At 51.5% G+C, this 22,089-nt stretch overlaps 1 protein-coding gene across 17 annotated transcripts in view, besides 4 other annotated features; it reads right to left on the bottom strand.

Annotated features, from left to right (window-relative positions):
* Nucleotides 1–1,536: 1,536 nt before the first annotated feature.
* SLC9A8 (solute carrier family 9 member A8) overlaps nucleotides 1,537–22,089 on the bottom strand; it is a 79,415-nt gene continuing 58,862 nt past the window's right edge. For 11 of the 17 annotated variants that reach the window (NR_048537.2, NR_048539.2, NR_048538.2 and 8 more), the window contains 6 exons: nucleotides 18,958–19,074; nucleotides 15,716–15,798; nucleotides 12,744–12,855; nucleotides 9,713–9,933; nucleotides 6,881–7,027; nucleotides 1,537–5,950 (listed from right to left, as the gene is read on the bottom strand). Coding sequence is in view for 13 of the 17 variants with exons in the window: in XM_011528736.3 (XP_011527038.1) it covers nucleotides 5,843–5,950; nucleotides 6,881–7,027; nucleotides 9,713–9,933; nucleotides 12,744–12,855; nucleotides 15,716–15,798; nucleotides 18,958–19,074 (788 nt within the window). In the remaining 4 variants the exon portion in view is untranslated. The other 6 variants (XM_011528738.3, XM_011528741.3, XM_047440071.1 and 3 more) reach the window with 4 other exon arrangements.
* Nucleotides 2,844–3,013: an enhancer, noted in NCBI's record as "experimental_60689 CRE fragment used in MPRA reporter constructs". NCBI's record gives its function as "activates a minimal promoter by MPRAs in K562 erythroleukemia cells, with activity observed for the introgressed 20:48507388 variant allele {active_cell/tissue: K562}" and the evidence as "EXISTENCE:reporter gene assay evidence [ECO:0000049][PMID:34662402]".
* Nucleotides 4,088–4,899: an enhancer, noted in NCBI's record as "H3K27ac-H3K4me1 hESC enhancer chr20:48505417-48506228 (GRCh37/hg19 assembly coordinates)". NCBI's record gives its function as "activates a minimal SCP1, AML or CMV promoter by ChIP-STARR-seq in primed H9 embryonic stem cells {active_cell/tissue: H9 hESC(primed)}" and the evidence as "EXISTENCE:reporter gene assay evidence [ECO:0000049][PMID:30033119]".
* Nucleotides 4,900–5,711: an enhancer, noted in NCBI's record as "H3K27ac-H3K4me1 hESC enhancer chr20:48504605-48505416 (GRCh37/hg19 assembly coordinates)". NCBI's record gives its function as "activates a minimal SCP1, AML or CMV promoter by ChIP-STARR-seq in primed H9 embryonic stem cells {active_cell/tissue: H9 hESC(primed)}" and the evidence as "EXISTENCE:reporter gene assay evidence [ECO:0000049][PMID:30033119]".
* Nucleotides 5,092–5,211: a silencer, noted in NCBI's record as "silent region_13005". NCBI's record gives its function as "represses an Ori minimal core promoter by ATAC-STARR-seq in GM12878 lymphoblastoid cells {active_cell/tissue: GM12878}" and the evidence as "EXISTENCE:reporter gene assay evidence [ECO:0000049][PMID:35858748]".

The raw sequence follows: 22,089 nt of genomic DNA, 5'->3' as shown, positions 1-22,089 counted from the left end.
AAGCAAAGACTTATTTTCTTCCCCATTTACATCAGGGTATTAGCTGGCAGCTGCCTGTATGCGCAGAGGTTCCTTCTGTCCCCAGCACCAGACTGGTCCCAACTGATGCTAAGACCCCCCAGGTCTGCCAGGCGGCCTCCCCAGGCAGGGGGAGTGTGGCTGATGCCTGCCTGCTCTCCTGCAGGTCCATAAATATTCACAAAGAGGACCCTCATTTACGGGGCACTTACTGTCACCCAGGGCCTTGAGATGACTGTACTGGCCCCTGGCCCCTGACCCCCACTGCCCTTCATGTCTCACATCTTCTCTGGCTAGAGCCAGAGGGCTGTGTTGTCCCTTGCTTGGGGTGGGGGGGTTGCCTCCAAGAGGCAGTGGGGCCCCGCTCCAGGCCAGCTTCATTCCCCTAGTGCCCTGTGGAATAATAAGCGGGGGTTACAGGACCCTCAACTTTGTGTGTGACCCTCCAACCCCCCGCCAGCTTTCTAGCCTCTAAGGAAAATATTTCTTGCCTCGATTGCTCCCCTCTACCCTGAGAGCTTTTTTTAGGAGTTGAGAAGGTTGAAATACAAATGAAACATACCCTGTTCCGTGGGAACGAGGTGCCCACTCAGGACCACCCCCCACCTTTGCTGCCAGCACTCCGTTCCGTCCCAGCTGACACTCTGCTCAGCACAGCGCAGCTCCACTTCCCAGCCGCCCTCGCAGGCAGGGCTGGCCTGGAAAATTCTGCTGTTAGCCAGAGTCCTTATCACTCTCGTGGTGCCTCCCTGACACTGAGGCCAAGTGTCAGCTACCACTTCTCATCACACTTGCAGTTTTTATTATGGTGGAGAAATATTTCTCTGAATCTGGGTTTCCACCAAAAGCGGGCCACGGGGAGCCCACTGTGGCCTCGGGAGTCTCCCCTGGGGTGGGCTGAAGCACAGTGTGGGAAGGAACCAGGAAACTCAGCTCTTGCCCCCTGGCTGGGGCCAGGACAGCTTCTCCTGACTGGTTTCATTTTACATCACATGCATTTTTGGTTCGTGCCTGTTACCTTCAGCAGCTTGGATGCCTTTGGAAGTACGTGGGGGTATAGATGAACTCACGACCCTTCTTGCCCCACATGCCACCACTTCTGATCAGAGGCTATGGATGCCCCCGCTCCTGCGGCAGGGCAGGTTCAGTGACAGAATTTCCCCATTTCACCATCAGGCAAAGGCCTGTGGGGGACTGATCTGTAAGCCCCGAGCAGGAGGTCAGGCGGCCCTGCAGCCTGGGCGAACAGCCAGCGAACCCAGGGAGGAAGGGCTCCCAGCATCGTGAGGAGAAGCTGAGCCTGGCTGGGGGCTGAGCTTCACATGCTCCTCACTGAGGGCCAAAGGTAGGAACCAGACGCAGGCCAGCCTGACCCAGCCCTGCTCCTAAGCACTGTACTTCCTGGTGACATGGCTGCCACCGGCCCAGGGGCTGGGTAGCTGTGTGCCACAGAGCCCAGTCTAGGAGGTGTGACCTGTGCATCTGCAAAGCCACCTGAACATGAACACAGACACTGGCTCCAATTCAGCAGCATACACTTTATTTCTAAATAGGCATCCAGTGACACGACTGTTCATACATCTATTCCTGACTCCCTTAAAGAGTCCAACGAGATGACGCAGGGGCTCCTGCATGGCAGCCACAGGTCCCCCATCTCTGACCCGCCTTCCCCTCCCAGCCCAAAGCCCCACCAAGAAGAGCAGCACATCACTGCTCAGGAAACAGGGGCCTAACAGGGGCCTCTTGCAGCTCACTTGGGGGAGAAAAATGAGTAAGTCTGGCCTTCATAATGCTTCTTAAAACAAAAACCCAGCACTCGTCATTTTTACAAAGGAAATGATGAAAAGGAATGTAAGATTCACATCCATCTTGAGGACAATTCAAGCTTCGTCATTTTGAGGACGATTCAAGATTTGCAGATCCTTACTTGGAGAAACCGTCAAAGCCTTTGGTGTAAGCCAGGCCATGCCCACCATGCAGGTGGAAGCAGGGAGGCCTCCCCATCCCAGCCTGAGGCTCTGGTTCCGCAGGGCTGGCAGCTGACTTTTGACCACGGATGCACATCTTCCCATCCAATCACAGGCCCACTGCTCACCAGCACTTCGCGCTCACTCCGAAGCCAGTGAAGCCCCCGCAGAGCAGCCGGGGAGACCAACTCAAGGGCACCAGAGGCCACAGCAAGAAAATAGCTCGGGAGAGGGGGATGGGATGGGGCAGGGGGTGTGTGTTAGTCTTCCTCCTTCTGTTACATGCCTGGTAACAGTGAAGCCCCTCAATGTCTAACTGTTGGACAACTGTTTGGGAAACGGCAGGAGACTAAATGGAAGGGGGCTGGCTCTTTATTCTCGAGGCCTTTATCTTGACTGTGAGATGGAGGGCGTGAAATGGAGGGCGTTAGACAGAGGACCCGGGGCTGTGGAGATGCCTTCCCGAGGACTCTGCTTCATGACTCCGCATCAGGAAGCTCAGGGTTTCCTACCCGCCCCCAGCAAGGGCAGCAAACACTGGCTCTCACTCGGCAGGGAATGCGGGGGGTGGAGGGGGGCCTTTTCTCTTCTGCATGTGAAATCCTTGTCAGTGGCAGCAAACGGCCACTGAGCTTCTCCCCACACAGGAATCAGGCAGCAGTTCCAGCCCTGAGCCACCCCAGGCCACACCCACACCCCAGCCTGCCCCATCCTCAGCAGAAGTGGCCTGGCCTCGGCTACCCTGCTGAGGACTCTCCAAGCATGTGCGCCCTGCGGGAACACGGACCTGAGACTTCATGAGGCCAAGCCCTGCCGATGGCACCTTTGCCAAAGGTTTTAAGAAGGGTCCCCAGTCACCCATCTTTCAGCATTCCATGGCACACAAAGGAATCCTGTGGGCTAACCTGGGCGACTCTGGCGCTCAGGCCTACCCCTTGGCCTCATGCCAGCCAGCCCAGCCCAGCTCACCCACTGTGAAGAGGGGTGGCTGGCTTAGGGTAGGGGCCGAGAGGGCTTCAGTTCTGCCTCTGGACAGTGTGTCTGACCTCCAGATGATGGAACTGAGCCACCCTTAGCCTGGCCCTGGCCCATCCCCCTGCACACTTATCTCGGGGACCTAGAAGCCAGCCCTTTTCCCTGCGAGACCCCACACAAGCCACGGGGTGGTTGTTCCGAGGGGTCATAACAACTACAGGCTGCAGAAAGCATGGGATTCATTCCAAGAACTCGTTCCACACAGCAGTGCCTGTGGTGGAGGGGCTGCTGGCTAAAGGGCTGGTTTCCTCCAGCGCTCCCTGGCTCCAGCCTTCACTCATCCTGAAGTATTCCTCCTACACGCCACAGTTCTCCTGTACCATGGCCTAGACCCAGAAGAAAATAAATACACACGCAGGAAGATATAGTTAAGCTGCGTATTTTTATATCTTCTATGCATTCACTGCCCCAAATAGAATTATTGGGTGTGCTAAAGGTAGACAGCAGCAATTTGTTATTCTCAGGCAAAAAAAACTGACCCAGAAAAACAGACTTCTATGGCCTTTTGTTACCAAGGTGAGCCAAGATTGCCAAGGAACACGGGGTGCCCTCATCTCTTGGGGGCACTCTCCCAGGCTGCTGACCTCACCTGGCCGACAGGGGGCAGAAGAGGCTCAGAGGAGATCGAGGCAGGTGCTGGTACCTCCTGGGAACGGTCCCGCCACCCCCTTTGCCCCCAACAAATCCTGGGGCCCCTCCACCAAGCCCCACATGCTCTTCCGCCACAGCATCGTTTTCAAGTCTCAGCTCAAAGTGTGAGGCCAGGTGTGACCTGGCTGGGGCTATCACACCTGGTGACGAGGGGGCAGACGGAAATGGGATCTGACTCTTTTCATTGCTTTATCTGTGAATTTAAGATTAGGAAAGAAAGAAATCCTGGCAAACTGAGTTTGCAAAACAACTTACATCTGGGAGATGGGACCCTAAACTTCAGGGGAGAGTGAGTTCTGGCAGGGGTGCGAGAACAATCTGGTCTCAGATCCCTGCCCGCACTCGCCCAGGGGCAGGCAAAGGTCCCTACCCTCTGACTTCCTCTCTTCTCCACTAAAAGGAAATGGTGGAAACCAAAATTAAGCAAGGCAATGGCTCAAATTATGGGGTTGAGAAATTAAAAAAGATCATATTTTAGCTCTATCAAGTACACATTTACTTTTCATGCAAAAAGTAAACAGTGTGCTTCCTGCTTGGCTGGCCTGCTCTGACTTCAGGGTCAAGGCGAGGTGGTAGGATCGGGCCTGGCCTCTCATTCCTGGCACAGAGGAACCTGGAAGGTCCTGAGGTCAGTCCCTCCTGACATCTGGAGCCACACTGCCTGAGGTGGAAGAGATGGAGATGTGCTTGCTCTAGCCCAGGGTCCATGCTGGCCCATGTGGGCCCACTGTGTCCCCAGAGAAGCAGGAATGCACATGATCAGCCCAGGGTCCATGCTGGCCCATGCAGGCCACTGTGTCCCTTGAGAAGCAGGAATGCTTCTTAATGATGAATTAAACCACCCCAGGGTGCCAGGTTCCAAGGCTCCCTGGGACCCAGAACCACATACGGAAGTTGGCAATGGCTCTTTGATGAGCTGAGCAGTTTGAGGCTCGTCAAAGGGGAGATGAGGAGAGGATGGGAGTCATTCCATCTGGACATGACTGGCAGCTCCTCACCCTGAGATGGCTGAGGGGGCCAGGCCCCTGGGACAGGGCTGGGGTGTGTGTGCGTGGAGCGTGTGCTCCAGGATGCTGGGGCCCCAGGTCAGAGTAGAGGAGGGAGCACTGGGTGCTGCTGCTCTGGCCCCTGCCCCAGTGCTTTGGGGACCCTAGCATGGGTGACGAATGGGATCCAACGTGGTAGGGAACTGGGAGAGGGGAAAGAGGATGGAACCCTGACTAGCAGCGAAGATGGCAGCAGTGAGCAGACACTGCAGGGCCTCAGCACAGTGGCCTCCGATTAGACAAAAGAACAACTGAGTACGGGAATGGTGGGGAGGGAGATCAGATGGCAGGAGGCGACTAGAGGCTCTCAGCACTTTGCTGTAAAATGCAAATCAAGACAGCAGTTGTGGGCCGGCAGAAACCCTGTGCCTCTAGCTTTTCCCTCTAGAGGGCGCTCTGACCCCGCAAGATAAAAGCCTAGAGTTGCAGCTTGCAGGGGGCTCTAAAGAAGATACCAGAAGGTACCAGTGTAAACATTCAGAACATGCCCAGAGAAGGGCAGCAGCCGTCTGCTACCCAGGGAGATAGACTGCGAAGTGCCAATCAGGTAAAGGACAAAAGGTCACTCCGTTTCTCTCTGAGGGAGCACAGGAAGTATCACAAAAGGCAGCGGGAGGTTTTCAGGATTTCTGGGCCCTGCCACTTAGGTCAGAATTGTGGCTGCAGAGGCATCTTGATGACTCAAAGGCAGGTGGCTGACCCCTGGCTCTGCCAGTCCGGCGGGGGCAGCATGAAGGCAGTGGCTGGGGAATGGCACAACTGTAGATGGTGCTCCTCTAGGCAGGGGGCCGCAGGGGTCCTCCGGGTGGGGGGGTAGGCGCCCTAGCTTCACAGATGACTGGCACCTGGCCCCATGCTCCCTCCCCTCTGTGGGCTGAGGAGCCACACTGAGCGGAGGCTGGCTCAGGGAGGAGTCGGGAGATGACAGTTTCCCAAGAAGTCGCCTGGCTCCAGAGGCCTGTCAGGTTCTGGACTAAGGCGACTCTGCAGCCAGTACCTCGCCCCGCCCTCTTATGTCTTGAAGGGGCTGCTGGATGCACGCATCTCTGCGAGGCCCCTGCTGAGTGTCTGTGCGCAGCAAACGCCCATCCTGGGCCTGCCTGCCTGAAGCCTTGGCACCTGGCGTCAGAGCAGCTCCTGCTCGTCGTCCTCGGAGCCGGAGGGGCCCTGGCGTACCTCCTCGTACCACTTGTTGGTGAGAGTTTTCATCTGGATGCGCCCGTGGTGCAGGTCCTGGGTCGAGAGACACAACCAAGCCGTCAGGGCGTCAGGGGCAGGGCCATGGAAGGGAGGGGATGCTACTGGGTGTTTTGTGTGGGGTGTCTAGGGAGGAGGTGGGAGGCAGGGTGATGGCCACAGGCAACTTCAGTTTCAGTTGAACAAACTGAGCTGGGATTGTTCTTTGTGGGGGTGGAGGTCACGGGAGGTGTCATTCAGAAAGGAGGAGGGAGCATGGCTTGAGGCTGAACATGTGGTCTCTGGAGTCAGACACAGTTAGCTCTGCTCCCAGTTATGCCCATATTGGCTGTGACCTTGCGGGGTTACTGCACCCCCTTAGGCCTCCATCTCCTCAGCTGTCAGGGACACAGCTGCATCCACTGCACAGGATGCTGGAGAAGGAAGCGGTCGTGGTCACAGTCACTGGAGCTGCCTGGCTCCTGGAAGAGCGCACACACCGGCAGCTCTCAGGCCTGCCGGAGAGTGGAAAATGGGCCTGCTCGGAAACAAAGCGGGCAGCAGCAGGAAGAGCCCCACCCCTACCCAAGGCCTCCAACTAAAGAGAGGCCAGCAGTGCCCCGAGGGACAGAACCAGAGCCCTGAGCTGGGGGCAGACTTGGGCCACAGCTTGAGGCCCTGGTATGTCTGAAATTCCTCAGCTCCGATTCAGTAGCTGATCAATACCCCGAGTCTATCATCCAGGAAAACCAAACTGTGTTAACAAATCTATTATTAACCTCGCACTAAATGTGGCAGCGAAGGAAAAACAGCAGATGCCGAGTTCCACAAGCACGTCCAGCCTCCAGATCGGGAGGCGGCGGCCTGGCGGGCCCACGTGAGCTTTCCTGCCTCCCCACTCTTCCTCCACCCCACCCTGGGCCACCGCAGGTCCTGAAGGAGGCAGGCAAGGGACCCCCAGAAAGTGTGGCCTGGCCGGTATCCCACCTCCTGCGTCAGCCTCCGAGTGAAGAAGGGGTTCAGGTACTTGGCGTCCAGCCACACGAAGCCCTTAAGGTCCTGCCGCCTGATGTAGTGGGCCTCGTACTCCTCCTCCGTGAGCTCCGACAGGTGCTCCGACTCCACAGTGTTGCCCTGAGCAGGGAGGAAAGGCGGCCCGACGGCCACCAGCTGGCACCATCGGGGGGCACCTCCTGGAAGCCCCCACACCACCCAGGCCGCCAGTGTCCCCAACCCTAACTCCACTTGACCATCAATGCAGGGTGACGGGCAGCAGACGGCCTCCTGGGAGCCTGCAGGGAGGCAGGAACGTCCATCAGGGCACAATGGATGCCCAGGACCCCACCTAGGACAGCTAAAACAGAAGGACTGGGCCAGGCTGGGGCTTGGTCTTTAAGCTTTTCAAGCTTTTGGGTGATTCTATCATGCAACCAGGACCAGAACTGCTGTTCTGGGCTTTTCATTAGCAGCAAATCGCACAGGGAGGCTTTTTGTCTCTTTGCCTGTGGCTCTATTAGCTAGGACTCCACCGTGGACAGGCTTTTGCCAATCAAGTCAAGAGAGGAGAGGGGAGAGGAACACATCCTGTAGGAATTGGGGAGGGACGAAGAAAAGGACCCCATGTGGAGGGGAGAGACGGAGGTAAAGAGGCGGGACTCGGGTCATAGGTAGGAGCAAAGCAGACAGGCTCTGAGTGCAGCGCCTGCTCTGCTGGAGGAGTCTCAGTGGGGCCACAGTGAAGTGTGCTCTGCAGCTTCACTGCAGGTGGTGGGGAGGGGGACGGGGCAGGTGCAGGGAGGGCAGAGGATGGCCGGGGAGGGGAGGGCATTTAGATGCTGTGAAGCAGTGGTTGTCAAACACTGGTCTGTATTAGAATCTACCTGGGGGGCCTGTGAAACCACAAAATACTGAGCCCACCGCAGCCACCTGCAGAGGTGCTAATTCAGTAGGTCTGAATGGGCTTGGGAATCTGCAGATCTAACAGGTTTCCAGTGATGCTGCTAGTCTGGGGAGCCCATTTTGAGGACTGCTGATCAGCGTGGTAGTAAAGAGGACAGGCTCGGGAGTCTGTGCCCACAGCTGTCTGATTCTCTTGGTGCCTCGGCATTCTCATCTGCAAAGTGGGTATAATGAAAGCGCCAGTTTCTGGCAGGCTATGGGGACAATCTGAGATCATCCAAGGAAAACGCAAGCACACTGACTGCCACAGAAAACATTCCAGAAACTCAGCGGTTCATCCTCAGAGGAGCTGTCCTGTTTCTGCTAGTGCTGTGCTTCGCCAAGCGTGTTCACAGGATCAGCTGCAGCAGCACCACCTGGCAACTTGTTAGAAACGCAAATTCTTAGCCTGGACCACATGGTGAGACCCCATCTCTACTAAAAATAAGAAAAAATTAACTGGGTGGGGTCACGCCTGTCTGGAGTCCCAACTACTCCAGAGGCTGAGGTGGGAGGATCGCTTGAGCCCAAGAGGTCTGGGCTGCAGTGGGCCACGATCACGCCACTGCACTTCAGCCTGTGCAATAGAGTGAGACCCTGTCTCAAAAATAAATAAGAAGAAACACAAATTCTTTCGGACCCCATACCATACCTATGAGATGCTGGTGTGAGACCCAGCAGCCTGTGTGTAGCAAGCCCCCCACCGATTCTGATACCCAGAAAGGCCTAAGCTAGAGCTTTTGTGAAAAACAAAAAAGTTGGTAGATAGGGGGTGGGGGCAAAGGGCCTCTTAGTGTGGTGGAAGTTCTGCAGAGCCAGGCCTCACAGCCATCTGGAAGTTTCCTCCCAGCAGCACTGCACTGGGTGAGGGGCCCAGCTGAGCATGGAGATTGGAGGCCATGGTCTTGCCAGCCCTGACTCCAGTGTTAGCCGTGGATGGCCACGTGAGGACTCCTGGGCCTCTGATGACTGATTAAAGTTACTGAGGCCTAGAATACGGGAACTAGAAAGAGATGCATGTCCAGAAATGCATGGTGATCAGCAGGGGATGCTCTGGGCTGGAGCCTACAGCAGCCTCTGCTTCGGTCAGAGGGCCTAGCTTTGCACAGGGGTCCTGAGGGTGAAGACAGGGCGGGAAGGCAGCCTGGTGGCAGGGGCGGTGGCTTGTAGGAAGAAGAGGTGGGCAGGCTGCAGAACCTCAGCTCTCCCTACAGCTGGGGCCTGGGTACCTCCAGCCCCACACCATGTCTGTCCTTGGGGGAGTACCCCTCTCACGGCCCTCACAGCCACCGCAAGACATCCTCCCCTCCTCAGGCCCCCAACAGGTGGTTTTTAGTAAAACCATACTGGGGAATGACAGGATTTTGAAACCCTCAAACCTGGGCCCTGACAGGTGTCTCAGCTGCTGGCAGGGCAGAGGCACTGCTGTGGTTGTGGCACAGGTCCAGACTCCTGTGGTGCCCCATGGAGCTTCAGAGAGGGAGCAGATGGGGTCGTCCACAGCCCCCATGGCTGCGGCAGGTCACAAGGCCACCAGACACCCCCACCCCAAGAGCCATGCTTCAGAACTCAAGTTCCGTCACCTCCTTCTCAGGGGGGATGACCGGGGGGTGTGTGTGTGTGTGTGTGTGTGTGTGTGTGTGTGTGTGTGTGTGTGTCGTGTGTGTGTGTGTCGTGTGTGTGTGTGTCGTGTGTGTGTGTGTGTCGTGTGTGTGTGTGTGTGTGTGTGTGTGTGTGTGTGTGTGTGTCGTGTGTGTGGAGGTGCTGGGCATCCTCAAAGCAAGAAAGCAAGGCTCATCTCCCCATTTCCTGACAGTGGGGACCACCAGCTGCGTAGCAGGCCAGCCCCCTGCCCCACCCCCACAGGCGCATGGTACTAACCATCTTCTCAGTCTTGCTGAGGTTGACGTCCTTCTTGTTCCTGCGGTGTGCCTTGGCGTCCTCGATGTCCATGAGGCGAATGAGGGGCATGGTGCTGCCGCCCAGCAGCAGGATGGTGAAGAGCACGATGACGATGGTGGTGGTGCCGATGAGCTGCCGCTTCTCCATGGGCTCCAGGTCCAGGTGTAGGCTCAGGGCATAGGGGATGGCTCCCCGCAGGCCTGGGTGACAGCAAACAGTGTGAGAGGACACAGTGAAGAGGCAGCAGCTTCATGGGCTGGCTTCCCTGGAAATCCAGCCGGCCCAGCACCACGACCAGCTGACTATTCTAATGGCCCTGCTGAAGAGTGTGTGCTCACCCTGTGAGGCTTTGGGGTGTAAAGAGCAGGTGGCAGAGATGGGACCACAGACTCACCTCCATTCCAACATTGGCAGATCAAATGAGATGGCCTGCCCCAGCTACAGAGCCCCAGATGCGGGTGCGGGAGGACTTAGCAAGCCTGATGCTCGTGTCTTGGAAACTGCAGGACAGCTGCTGTGGGCTGAGCCCTCCCTGTGTGTGCGCCAGGCCTGGGCAGGTGCTCAGTGTGCAGAGCATCACTGGATCTTCACAGGAATCCTCACCGAGCAGCGCTACTCTTGTCCACAACACACAGATGAGGGATGGAGGCCAAGAGCAGCATGGCCCGCCCAGGGCCACTCAACTAATACCCACAACAGCACAAGATGCAATGTGTCCAGTACCCCTCCTATCTCGAGATGCTGTCCCTGTGGAGGCCCCTGGTGGCACTGATGGGGCTGTGGGCTGCTTAGGTGGTAATGACAGGCTGGCTGGTCCTCTGTGACGCTACTAGGGCACAACTGAGGGGCATGGACTGAGCTGGAAAACAGCACATTCCTCTGTTAGAAGTTTCCTGGCTTCCTTGGTGCCATACGGAGGGGACAGGCAGTCCTAGCCCCACCCTTGGGGAGCTCCTAGAGCAGCTGGGAGGAGGCACAGCAAATAAGGGGTGTGAAATGCTACCTGGAAGAGATGGTGGGGGGAGGGGGGTGGGGGGTGGGGGGGGGCATGGTGCAGACAGCACCAGGACCTTCCCCAGACAGGAAAGCGGGGAGGCTCACATCACCATGGGGTAGGGCAGCCAGGCTGCTGCAGGCCAGACCCAGATGGGGAGACGGCAGGGCAAGAGCAAAGGGCACATAATACAGAGACATGGTGAGGACAAGGGACTCTCAGCCTCTCTAAACCTGTCACGGGCCAGAGGATTCAGTGACACGGGACATGTAATGTGCTTTAACAGGGTGTGTACCCAGCAAGTGCTTAGTACCGGCTAGCCAGGCCACCGGGCAATTCAAAGTAGGATTTCTTGGGCAAGGGGGATGCAAAGGCATAGGGATGACAGCATCCCCACGGCATCCAAACAGGCAGCTGGAAACAGGAGTACGGATCCCAGAGGGAGGTCTGGGTTCGCGGGAACAGCTTTGGGACTAGGTGGAAGTGAAGGCCAGTGGACGGGTGAGCGCACTCAGTGAAGTGCAGAACACGTGAACAGAAGTGGGGCTGGGGCCAAGTCCTGAAGAAGCCACTATTTGAGGGGTCAGCGAAGGGGGACGAGCCCAAGGAGACGTCAAAGGAGAGAAAGGAGGAGCATGGCCCAGAGGCCGGGGAAGAGAGTGAAGTGGTCCTCGCCAGAAGGTAGGGGCAGTGGGAAGGAGGTAGGCTAGGACGGGGGCGGACGCCTCCCCTCCAGGTCTGGCTGCGGGAGGTCACTGGTGACCTGCCAAGGCCAATTCCAGCCCCGTGGACAGGCGGTGAAGAAGTGGAGAAAATGAGCGAGCACGGCTCACTCGCAAGGGTCTGGCCATGGCAAAAGAGGTGCGGACACAGCTGCGGGGGACATGAGGAGGAACTCTGGCTGAAGTTGCTGGTGTTTTGTGGGAAGGAGGAGAAGCTCTGATTGCTTAAATGATGATGGGAGGGGCCGGTAGCAGAGGCTTGTTCAGTGCCCCTCGTTGAGGATCCAGGAAAGCCTGGATGGAAACCCACAGAGCAAGAGCCCGGGGAGCCTGGGAGAGAACAGGAGCCGACAGCCCCCGCCATTTCAAATACACTCCAACCTTCCCCATAACGCTCTCTTATCCTCATGCCCCCCTTCCCAAATAGCCCACATCACTTCAAAAACCTCTGACACACTTCTGCAACCATTTACAAAGTAGTTTGCCTCACTGGCAAAAGAGATTAGGAAAAAAATGAGTTTTTCTCACCACATATAAATGTATATGTATATATACACATACGTACATATATATGAAACATATACATTTTTAAACATGGCCTTTTGAAAGAAGAGAAATCTGAGACAAACTTGCAGATATGCCTTTGGATAGAGAACATTATAGTGTGTTGCTATAACCCAACCCACACGGAAAATACTTTGATTATAATATTTAAGCAAGAAAGCATAAAGAACAGTATGTATTGCTCAAAAATAAATTTAAGGATGCCTATGGATCCAGTTCTTTAGAAGCAAAGATGTATGAAATCATTTCCGTCCTTTAAAAAGTGATTAAATAGCAACTGAAACATTCAAATTAAACTACTAGAACTTTGTGACTAAAAGGAAAAATATCCAAAACTAACATAAGGTATGAAACAGTTTCAACTTTCACCTTTTCTACCTTGAGACCATTATTACTTCAGCCTAGAAGACCCCCAGGGAGGCGCTGAAGCACGCCCAGCTGCATCCCGGACTGCACTATGGTGTTCAGAAGAGAGTGGCAGAAATCCCGGCTCTGCCTCCAGTGGTCACGTGACCCTGGGCATGTTGTTTGCCCTCTTCCAACCAAGCCTCACCCACTTCATAGCACCATGGTGAGGGGCACCATCTTGATTGCAGTGGGTGCCATTAAACGGGAGTATTGATTACTTGTGGTTTTGCCAAGGGCGCTAGCAGAGAACCACAGCTCTCCCTGTATGGGGCGTGCTTTTAACAGGTACTTCCCCACCCCATTTATCCAAGATTTGACTTACCACTAAACCACATGATGAACATCATCTTCGGTGTGATTTTATGATCCCGGAAGAAATTCAGGAGGTAGGAAAGAGGGAAAATGTTTACCGCTCTGCCAAATAGTACAAGCACCTGTTGATAGCAACAAACTAAGTCTTAGGTGAAAACATCTGGCTCTTCAAGCTGAAGCTTCTTGGATGAAGCTAATGCAGACTGTGTAACACATCCAGTACAAATGCAGTATTCCCCTCAGCCACAAAAGACACGAGCAACACCATGCTCGTCAGAGACCCAGCATGGGCGTGCTGCCACAGCTGCGGGATTCTATGCATCTAGGAAAGGATAAAGCTTTGTACGTTACCTTTCTTAGTAGCCAGAAAAGAGAGGACGGACGAGGTATCAGGAAGGGCTTTAGTAATGACAGCAGAACAAAACTGAATGCCAAGAGGCTGTACAGAAGTATTCACAGATTAGTTTAAGGGCAACCTGACTCCCAAGGTGCCCCTCCTTGGGACAGGGCTGCATTGATCATACCAGGACTAGGGGGACAGACAAGGTGTTTCTGCCTCTCCCTCAGGGAAAGGAGGGCAGCTATGAAGGACCTCCCATGCATGGAAACACTGCTCTCTGAGCAAGAGGAACGCAGAGGTAGGGACTATCAGGAGGCCACATGCCCCGGCTTAGCCTGCCAGCTGCTTGCTGTGGCTTTTGGTTCCTCTCCATCTCCAAAGGCATGTTAGTCTTGGCAAAGTACAGCTTTATGTAAAGTTTACATCTTTTTTTTTTTTTTTTGAGACAAAGTCTCACTCTGTCTCGCATGCTGGAGTGCAGTGGTGTGATTGTGGCTCAATGCAACCTCAACCTCCTGGGCTCCAGTGATCCTCCCACCTTAACCTCCCAAGTAGCTAGAACTACAGGTATGCACCACCATGCCTGGCTACTTTTTAAAATTTTTTAGTTAAAGATGAGGTCTTGCTATGTTGCCCAGGCTGGTCTCAAACTCCTGGTCTCAAGCAATCCTCCTGCCTTTGCCTCCCAAAGTGCTAGGATTACAGGTGTGAGCCACTGCACCCAGCCTAAAGTTTAAATCTTATCTAAGTGGATTCTTAGGACATTTATTACTTTACTTTCATTTTCTTCATCTTGGTTCTCACCATAACTACTTGAAAAGGATGATATAGACATGTACAGTACATTCTTTAGGCTTTAAGTTTATTCCTTTAACAAGCATGAATTTGAGAGTTTTTTTTTTTTTTGAGATGGAGTGCTGTGGCGTGATCTTGGCTCACTGCAACCTCTGCCTCCCGGGTTCAAGCAATTGTCCTGCCTCAGCCTCCCTAGTAGCTGGGATTACAGGCGTGTGCTACCATGCCCGGCTAATTTTTGTATTTTTAGTAGAGACGGGGTTTCGCCAAGTTGGCCAGGCTGGTCTCAAACTGCTGACCTCAAGTGATCCACCCGCCTCAGCCTCCCAAAGTGCTGGGATTATAGGCGTGAGCCACCATGCCTGGCCAAGAGTAAATGTTTCCAATCATCAAACATTTCTATGCCAGACAACATGCTAATCATTTTACATGCATTATCCTGCTAAATTTAAATCCTTGCAAAGGTCTTACAAAGTAGGTATTGTTGTCTCCAGTTTATAGACAAGGAAACTGAGGTATAGAGAGATGAAGTAATTGGTCCAAGTTGACAAGGCAGGAAGTAATGGATCCAAGTCTCAAATCTGGTTCAGACCCCAAAGCCCATGCTCTTGACCACTAAATTGAGTTTACAGGGCAGGAACTGTAACCCACCTGAATAGGCCATCTCCACTAGCTGCAGGGCCAGCCTGGGCCTAACTGCTTAGAGAAAACTGAGTTGTCACCCCAGGGCATCCTTTCATTTTCCTCCCAACCTGTGGCTGAAATAGTCACCTCCCTGTTTCACCCACTGAAATCCAATCTTCCATGCCTACACTTGTTTCAGGTTTGATCAAATGTGTCCCTTTTCCCCAGTGGCCACACTAAAGGCTATTATACTTTTTTTTTTTGAGATGGACTTTCGCTCTTTTTGCCCAGGCTGGGGTGCAAATGGCATGATCTCAGCTCACTGCACTGCAACCTCCGCCTCCCGGGTTCAAGCGATTCTCCTGCCTCAGCCTCCTGAGTAGCTGGAATTACAGGCGCATATCACCACGCCCGGCTAATTTTGTATTTTTAGTAGAGATGGGGTTTCACCATGTTTGCCAGGCTGGTCTCAAACTCCTGACCTCATGATCCGCCAGCCTCGGCCTCCCAAAGTGCTGAGATTACAGGTGTGAGCCACCGCGCCCAGCCTAGGCTATTATACTTTCTGTAAAGGACTTTTGCTGCTTCTCTCTTGCCCTGAAACCTGAGTTTGGAGGACAAATAACAGTGACCAAGAGCAATGAGCTCTTGCTGACTGAGAGATGGAAGTACCCAGGTTGCAGGAACAATATCTTATAAACAGACAAATAGACAAATATAAATAGACAAATTTGAAGAAAACTGCAGTAAGAAGTACATAATAAATTATCCAGAAAAAGCAGAAAAGAGAAAGAAATCCCAACTCTATGACCACTGTGAACATGTGGCTATATTTTCTTTACATATTTTCTTTTTTCTGTGCATAATATTTTTACATGGTTATGATCAATTACATATTCAATTTTGAAATCTGCTTTTACCTCCTCACACAAAAACTTACAAACCTGTACTTTTATTTAAAGACCATAATATTCAAGGCCATTAAAAATCTTAAAAAACAAGCAAAAGTCCTTTCTGGGGATATTTATTCACTTAATTCTACCCCTGCCCCCTTACTGTATGTTTGTGATTTTTTTTTTTTAACAAAAGAAACTTTAAACAAAAGAGTGTCTATGTAGCTGTTGACTTTGAACAGTTAACAGTTACATAAATGAATCCGGAACATGTGTTTATTGATCTACAAATAAGTAATTAAATTTAAAAAAAAAAAGGAAAATACTTACTATGCACCAGATGACAAAGGAAATTTCAAACTTGTGAGGAAAACTAAAAATGGACAGGCCAAGAAATGCAAACACACATGTTTCTGAAACAAACCAAAGAATGGATTATTCAACCCCAATGATTTCATTCCAATATGGTACTAAACTATTAAGCAAGCAAACATTCACAGTCAGAATCCAATACAACACTTTCCTTATTTTCTTGAAAATCCTGCAGCCAATATCTTGGTCAAACTTGTGCTTAAATTCTCTCATTCTTTTCTATTACATAAGCTACATGTCCCTGGTATTCAGAAATCTCTTAATGTAATGAGTCAACTGTCAAATACTTCTGCAAATAAACACGATCCCACCCAGGGAAGATGATAAACACAAGAATCTGTCAATCTGCTGAACACTGTCATTAGCAAGGGCCCCAACTGCGGCAAAGTGGCAAAAATTCAGAGCAAATGACTGCAGACGCCACATGACAAATGTGAAGGGGCCTCTGGTTAACTTCCACATGATTAGCTTAATATATTTAACACTGCCACAAGGTTTAGAACACAGCTCACACCCAGCAGGATTTGCAGAGTGAGACTCATTGCTAACTCCTGGCTCCACTCTGCGAGCCAAAAAGAGCCCAATATTTACTCTCTGTCACACAAACTTGTATATATTAAGAAAAAGCACCTTATAAATTTCTAACACTAGGCTCTCTGCTTAAACTGTGATGGCCCTCAGAACAGCATAATGACTAAAGAGATTAAAACTGTATATATATTTTTTTAGAGACAGAGTCTCACTCTGTCTCCCAAGCTGGAATGTAGTGGCACGATCTCGGCTCACTGCAACCTCCGCCTCCTGGGTTCAAGCAATTCTCCTGCCTCAGCCTCCCAAGCAGCTGGGATTACAGGCGCTCGCCACCACGCCCAGCTATTTTTTTTTTTTTTTTTTTCAGTAGAGACAGGGTTTCACTGTGTTGGCCAGGCTGGTCTCAAACTCCTGACCTTGTGATCCGCACACCTTGGCCCCCCTCAAAGTGCTGGGATTACAAGCATAAGCCACCGCGCCTGGCCTAAAACTGTATTTTAAAATAGTTGATCACAAACAGCAAGGCTGTTTTACATTCTAACAATGTTTTTCCTTTGAATGGTACCCAAGTTTAAAACAAGTCCACAAGCTGGAGAATTTACCCCCCCTTCTCTCTCTGAAATTTTTTTCTTATCTAATATTTGTGTGATCTTTCCAAATGAGCACATTTAGAAGACATTCAGATCTAGTGGATGCTTTTCCCTGGCAGCATCAACTCCAGGATCTGGATACATCACGGTATCCATTTGCTCTGAATTTCTGCCACTTTGCCACAGTTGGGACCCTTGCTAATGAAGGTGTTCAGTAAACAGGCAGAATTGTGTTTATCATCTTCCCTTGGCGGGATAATGTTTATTTGCAGAGAAATTTGACAGTTTTTCTGTCACATTTGACAAATTGTCAAAATTCGACAATTTTTCTAATGCCCAATCCTCTATGGATGGATATTTAGACTGTTTTTATTTCTGAGAGGTTCAACAAACACCCCAGTATGGGCTAAATTCCACAGGGTTGGACTGTTGGGCCAAAGAGCACGTGCCTTTTAAATTCAGACAGACGTGGCAAATGACTCTCCAGAAAAGATTCCAGTAGGCCTGTTTTCCACACGCCAAGGCCAGAAGTGGGTATTATCAAACTTAACATTTGCCAAACTGCTGGGTACAAAATAGAATCTTTTTGGATGGACGATTTGCTTTATGTGTCTTTAACTGGGAGGCTCAGGGTCAGAATCTGTAGCCTGGCTTTCTGAGAGAGGTGCTGTACAAATAATACCCTCTGGCCCAGGAATAAAGAGACCTGGCCTGCATACCCACTTCTTGGCCATGAGACCATGGGCAAGTCATGTGACTACTCCTCACCTGAGCCTCCTTATCTGCTGAAGTTTCTGCCTGGGTTGCCTTTGCCTCCTAGCACGCTAACAGTGTGGAAGTAGCAATTAAAAATGAGACAAGTGGCCGGGTGCGGTGGCTCATGCCTGTAATCCCAGCACTTTGGGAGGCCGAGGCAGGTGGATCACAAGGTCAGGAGATCGAGACCATCCTGGCTAACACGGTGAAACCCTGTCTCTACTAAAAATACAAAAAACAAAATTAGTCAGGCATGGTGGCGGGCACCTATAGTCCCAGCTACTCCGGAGGCTGAGGTAGGAGAATGGCATGAACCCGGGAGGCGGAGCTTGCAGTGAGCTGAGATCACGCCACTGCACCCCAGCCTGGGCGACACAGCAAGACTCCATCTCAAAAAAAAAAAGAGACAAGTCCCTCAAAATGCCAGGGGTGATTTTGATGACAGCTAGGGCAAAGTCACTTGGGGGCCAGCTTAAAGGGACATGGTGAGAGCTGTTCCCCGACTCCAACCACTTCCAAGTATAAAGTTGGTGGGGAGATACATGGGTATGTCGGAGCGTGGGGGAACAAGAACTTGAACAAACTGCTTAAAGACAAAGCCATCGTGGTTTATCCCAGCCCAACAAATGACACCTCTACTGCGAACTGTCCCCGAGTGATGTCCCTCAGGCTGCTCTTGTGAATAAAGGATTCTGTGGACAAGTTTGGAAAATTCTATAACTATATCCCCCGTTAAGGATTTGACAATCCATTATTTGCTGAAAAGTCTGGCAATTCATAAATGTTAAACTTTATTTAACCAGGATTTCCTAAACTCTTGTTTGACTACAAAAGCTTTGTTTTTCTTTCTTTCTTTTTTTTTTTTTTTTTAAGATCATAGCCCACTGCAGCCTTGAACTCCTGGGCTCAAGTGATCCTCTCAGTCTCCCAAGCAGCTGGGATTACAGGTGTGAGCCCCATGCCTTGCTTGACTATGGAGCCATTTTCACCAAACCATCATTAATATTTTATTTCCAAGGAATACATTTTTGGAAATGTCACATTAATACATTAAAAATGCATGTATCAAATGTTCATAATTGGTTCTCACTATTTTTGGTCTTTAAATTGTAGGCGCCAGATGTTCATTTATTAGGTGTTTGGTTTACTTTATGAAATTTCAAAGCCAGAGGAACAAACAAAAGATAAGGGAGTGAGGGATCTGGCTCTGAGGAGCTGCTGCCCTGCTGCCAGGGAAAGTCTCAACTGACTTCTCAAACAGGATAAGGAAGCAAGATCAGCTCTGGGTGGGCCTGCTCACGGCCACACAGAAGCAGAACTCACCACATAAGAAGGCCACGGTGCGGAGGGTCTGCTGCATGAGGATCTGGGTGACTGGGGAGAGGTTATGGTGCGTGTAGTGGGACATCACGATGCCTGAGAAAAGGATGGCCATGATGCCTAGAGAGGGAGAGAACAGAACAGAAAGCACTGCCGTGTGATCCCCAACTCAGATCTCACAATGCCTGCAAGGCCCTGGGGCCTAGAGCATTAGAGGGTTTAAGAAAAAGGAAAATAAATGAATTCCTGAAGCCTCCCAGAGGCTTCAGAAAAAATACTATGGGTCCCTTCGCTCTGGCAGCCTCATTACTAGCTGGGTGACCTTGAGCCACATTACATCCCCCATCAGAGCCTCAGTTTCCGCTTCTGTACAGTGGGACTAATAGTAGCCACTCACAGAACTGTTAGGAGGGTGAGTGAAAATAAGCCATGTAAAGTCCCCTTCACAGCACCAAAGATAAAAAGGTGTGGACCATCACTGACATCCAGGGATAGGGTTGGCAGATGTGGAACCTGTGGCTATTGAGGGCCCACTGCACTACCCCCCCACCCTTTTTTTTGGGGGGGGGACAGAGTTTTGCTCTTGTCACCCAGGCTGGAGTGCAATAGTGCGTGCGATCTTGGCTCACTGCAACCTCTGCCTCCCAGGTTTATGTGATCCTCCTGCCTCGGCCTCCTGAGTAGCTGGGACTACTACAGGCACGCATCACCATGCCTGGCTAATTTTTTGTATTTTTAGTAGAGAAGAGGTTTCACCATGTTGGCCAGGCTGGTCTCAAACTCCTGACCTCGGGTGATCTGCCCACCTCGGCCTCCCAAAGTGCTGGGATTACAGGTGTGAGCCACTGCACCTGGCCAACTGCACCGTTTGTATAAGGAACTTGAGCACCTATGAATTTTCTATACGTGGGGAGTCCTACAGCTGATCCTCCACAGATGCTGAGGGATGACTATATAAGGGTGGCAAGCAAACCACTCTGGGGGGCAGAAAGGAGCCTAAGAATCTGTGTATGGAGAATGTGTGGATTCTTTTTTTTTTTTTTTTTTTTTTTTGAGACGGAGTTTCAGTCTTTTTGCCCAGGCTGGAGTGCAATAGCGTGAAATCGACTCACTGCAACCTCCCCCTCCTGGGTTCAAGCAATTCTCCTGCTTCGGCCTCCCAAGTAGCTGGGATTACAAGTGTTCACCACCATGCCCAGCTCATTTTTGTATTTTTGGTAGAGACGAGGTTTCTCCATGTTAGTCAGGCTGGTCTCGAACTCCTGACTTCAGGATTGTGCCAATGTGCTGGGATTACAGGCGTAAGCCAACATGCCCGGCCTCTTTTTTTTTTTTTTTTTTTGGAGACAGGGTTTCGCGTTGTCGCCCAGGCTGGAGTGCAATGGCGTGGTATCAGCTCACTGCAACCTCCATCTCCTGGGCTCAAGCAATCCTCCCACCTCAGCCTCCCAAGTAGCTGGGACCACAGGCACATACCACCACGCCCAGCTAATTTTTGTATTTTTGTAGAGATGGGGTTTCACTATGTTGCCCAGGCTGGTCTCAAACCCCTGAGCTCAAGCAATCCAACCTGCCTCGGCCTCCCAAAGTGCTGGGATTATAAGTGTGAGCCACTGCACCCAGCTAAATGTGTGGATTTTGATGGACTTTTAAAATACTTTTCCTTAACTTTGAATTTTCCCATAATCATGAACTACTGTTATTTAAAAAGGTAATGCATCTTTTCTTCAGAGCCCTGCACGAGGGTGTGTACAACCTTCTGTGCTTACACAGGATTTGAGCCTCGACATTCGTCCGCTGCCCTCAGTCACTCCTGAGGAACTCACAGGTCTCTTCTCAGCATCTCCCTGCATAGGGAGCAGGAAAGGGGTCTCTATTTCATGTAAGGAAGCTGAGATTGTCTTAAAAAATCATCAAATAAGCTGCCAAGATATACTAATTCCAAGTCAAACTTTAAAAGCAAAGTTTTAATTCACTTCTGCCATTTTGTGGAAACAGTGACTATCTGGCAAACTTTCCACGTATAAAAGGGTGAAAATCGGCCGGGCGCGGTGGCTCATGCCTGTAATCCCAGCACTTTGGGAGGCCGAGGCGGGTGAATCACGAGGTCAGGAATTCAAGACCAGCCTGGTCAAGATGGTGAAACCCCGTCTCTACTAAAAATACAAAAAATTAGCTGGGCATGGTGGCACACGCCTGTAATCCCAGCTACTCTGGAGGCTGAGGCAGAGAACTGCTTAAACCTGGAGGGGTGGAGGATGCAGTGAGCCGAGATTGCGGCACTGCACTCCAGCCTGGGTGACAGAGCAAGACTCTGTCTCAAAAACAAACAAACAAACAAACAAAAAACTGTAAAAAAAAAAAAAAGGGTGAAAATCACAGCACTGTATTACAGACTTGTCAACTGCTAAGCTTACTGTAACACAATACCCTACAAAATATAGGAAACCTACTTTTTTGTATTGCCCCAGCAGGTATGGGCTGGCTGAGTGACAGCAGGAGCTGGACATTTGATCTCCTAACCCTCTTAGGAAACAGCAAATGCCTTTGCTCTTCAGTTTCCCCTACAGGGAGATTCCAGCCATGCTTCCTGTAAGACACACCTGACATGGTGGGCGAAGGAAAATGAGAGGGTAGGAGACTTCTTTACCTGCTCCTTTAGGGCTCTTTGAAGCTCAAGAGTGTTTTTGTTGTTGTTTTCCTTTGAGATGGAGTTTCACTCTTGTCACCCAGGCTGGAGTGCAATGGTGCCATCTCAGCTCAATGCAACCTCCGCCTCCCAGGTTCAAGCGATTCTCCTGTCTCAACCTCCCAAGCAGCTGGGATTAGAGGCGCAGTCTCGGCTCAGCCTGTCTACAAAGGCTGACAGTAGCCCTGTGGGACTGAGGATCTAACATGGACCAGTCTTCCTTCTGGTTTTCCTTACAGGAAATCTCCATCTTTAAGGATGGCAACAAATTCAAACATTTTGGATTTTTCTATATGGATAAGTAAGCCCTGTCTGGGGGCTGAGACTGGACCACAGCTGCCACCTGTGCACCTGACCCACTGTTGGCACTGGGCCATCTGGACAATCCCAGAGGGCTTTACCCTGGGCTAGTGTGGGGTCAGGGCACCTTGAGTTCTAGGCGAAAG

Source organism: Homo sapiens, chromosome 20 (assembly GCF_000001405.40).
Source record: "Homo sapiens chromosome 20, GRCh38.p14 Primary Assembly".
Lineage (NCBI taxonomy): Eukaryota > Metazoa > Chordata > Mammalia > Primates > Hominidae > Homo > Homo sapiens.
Note: the sequence above shows the minus strand (reverse complement) of the source record. Positions and strands in the feature narration are given on the sequence as shown.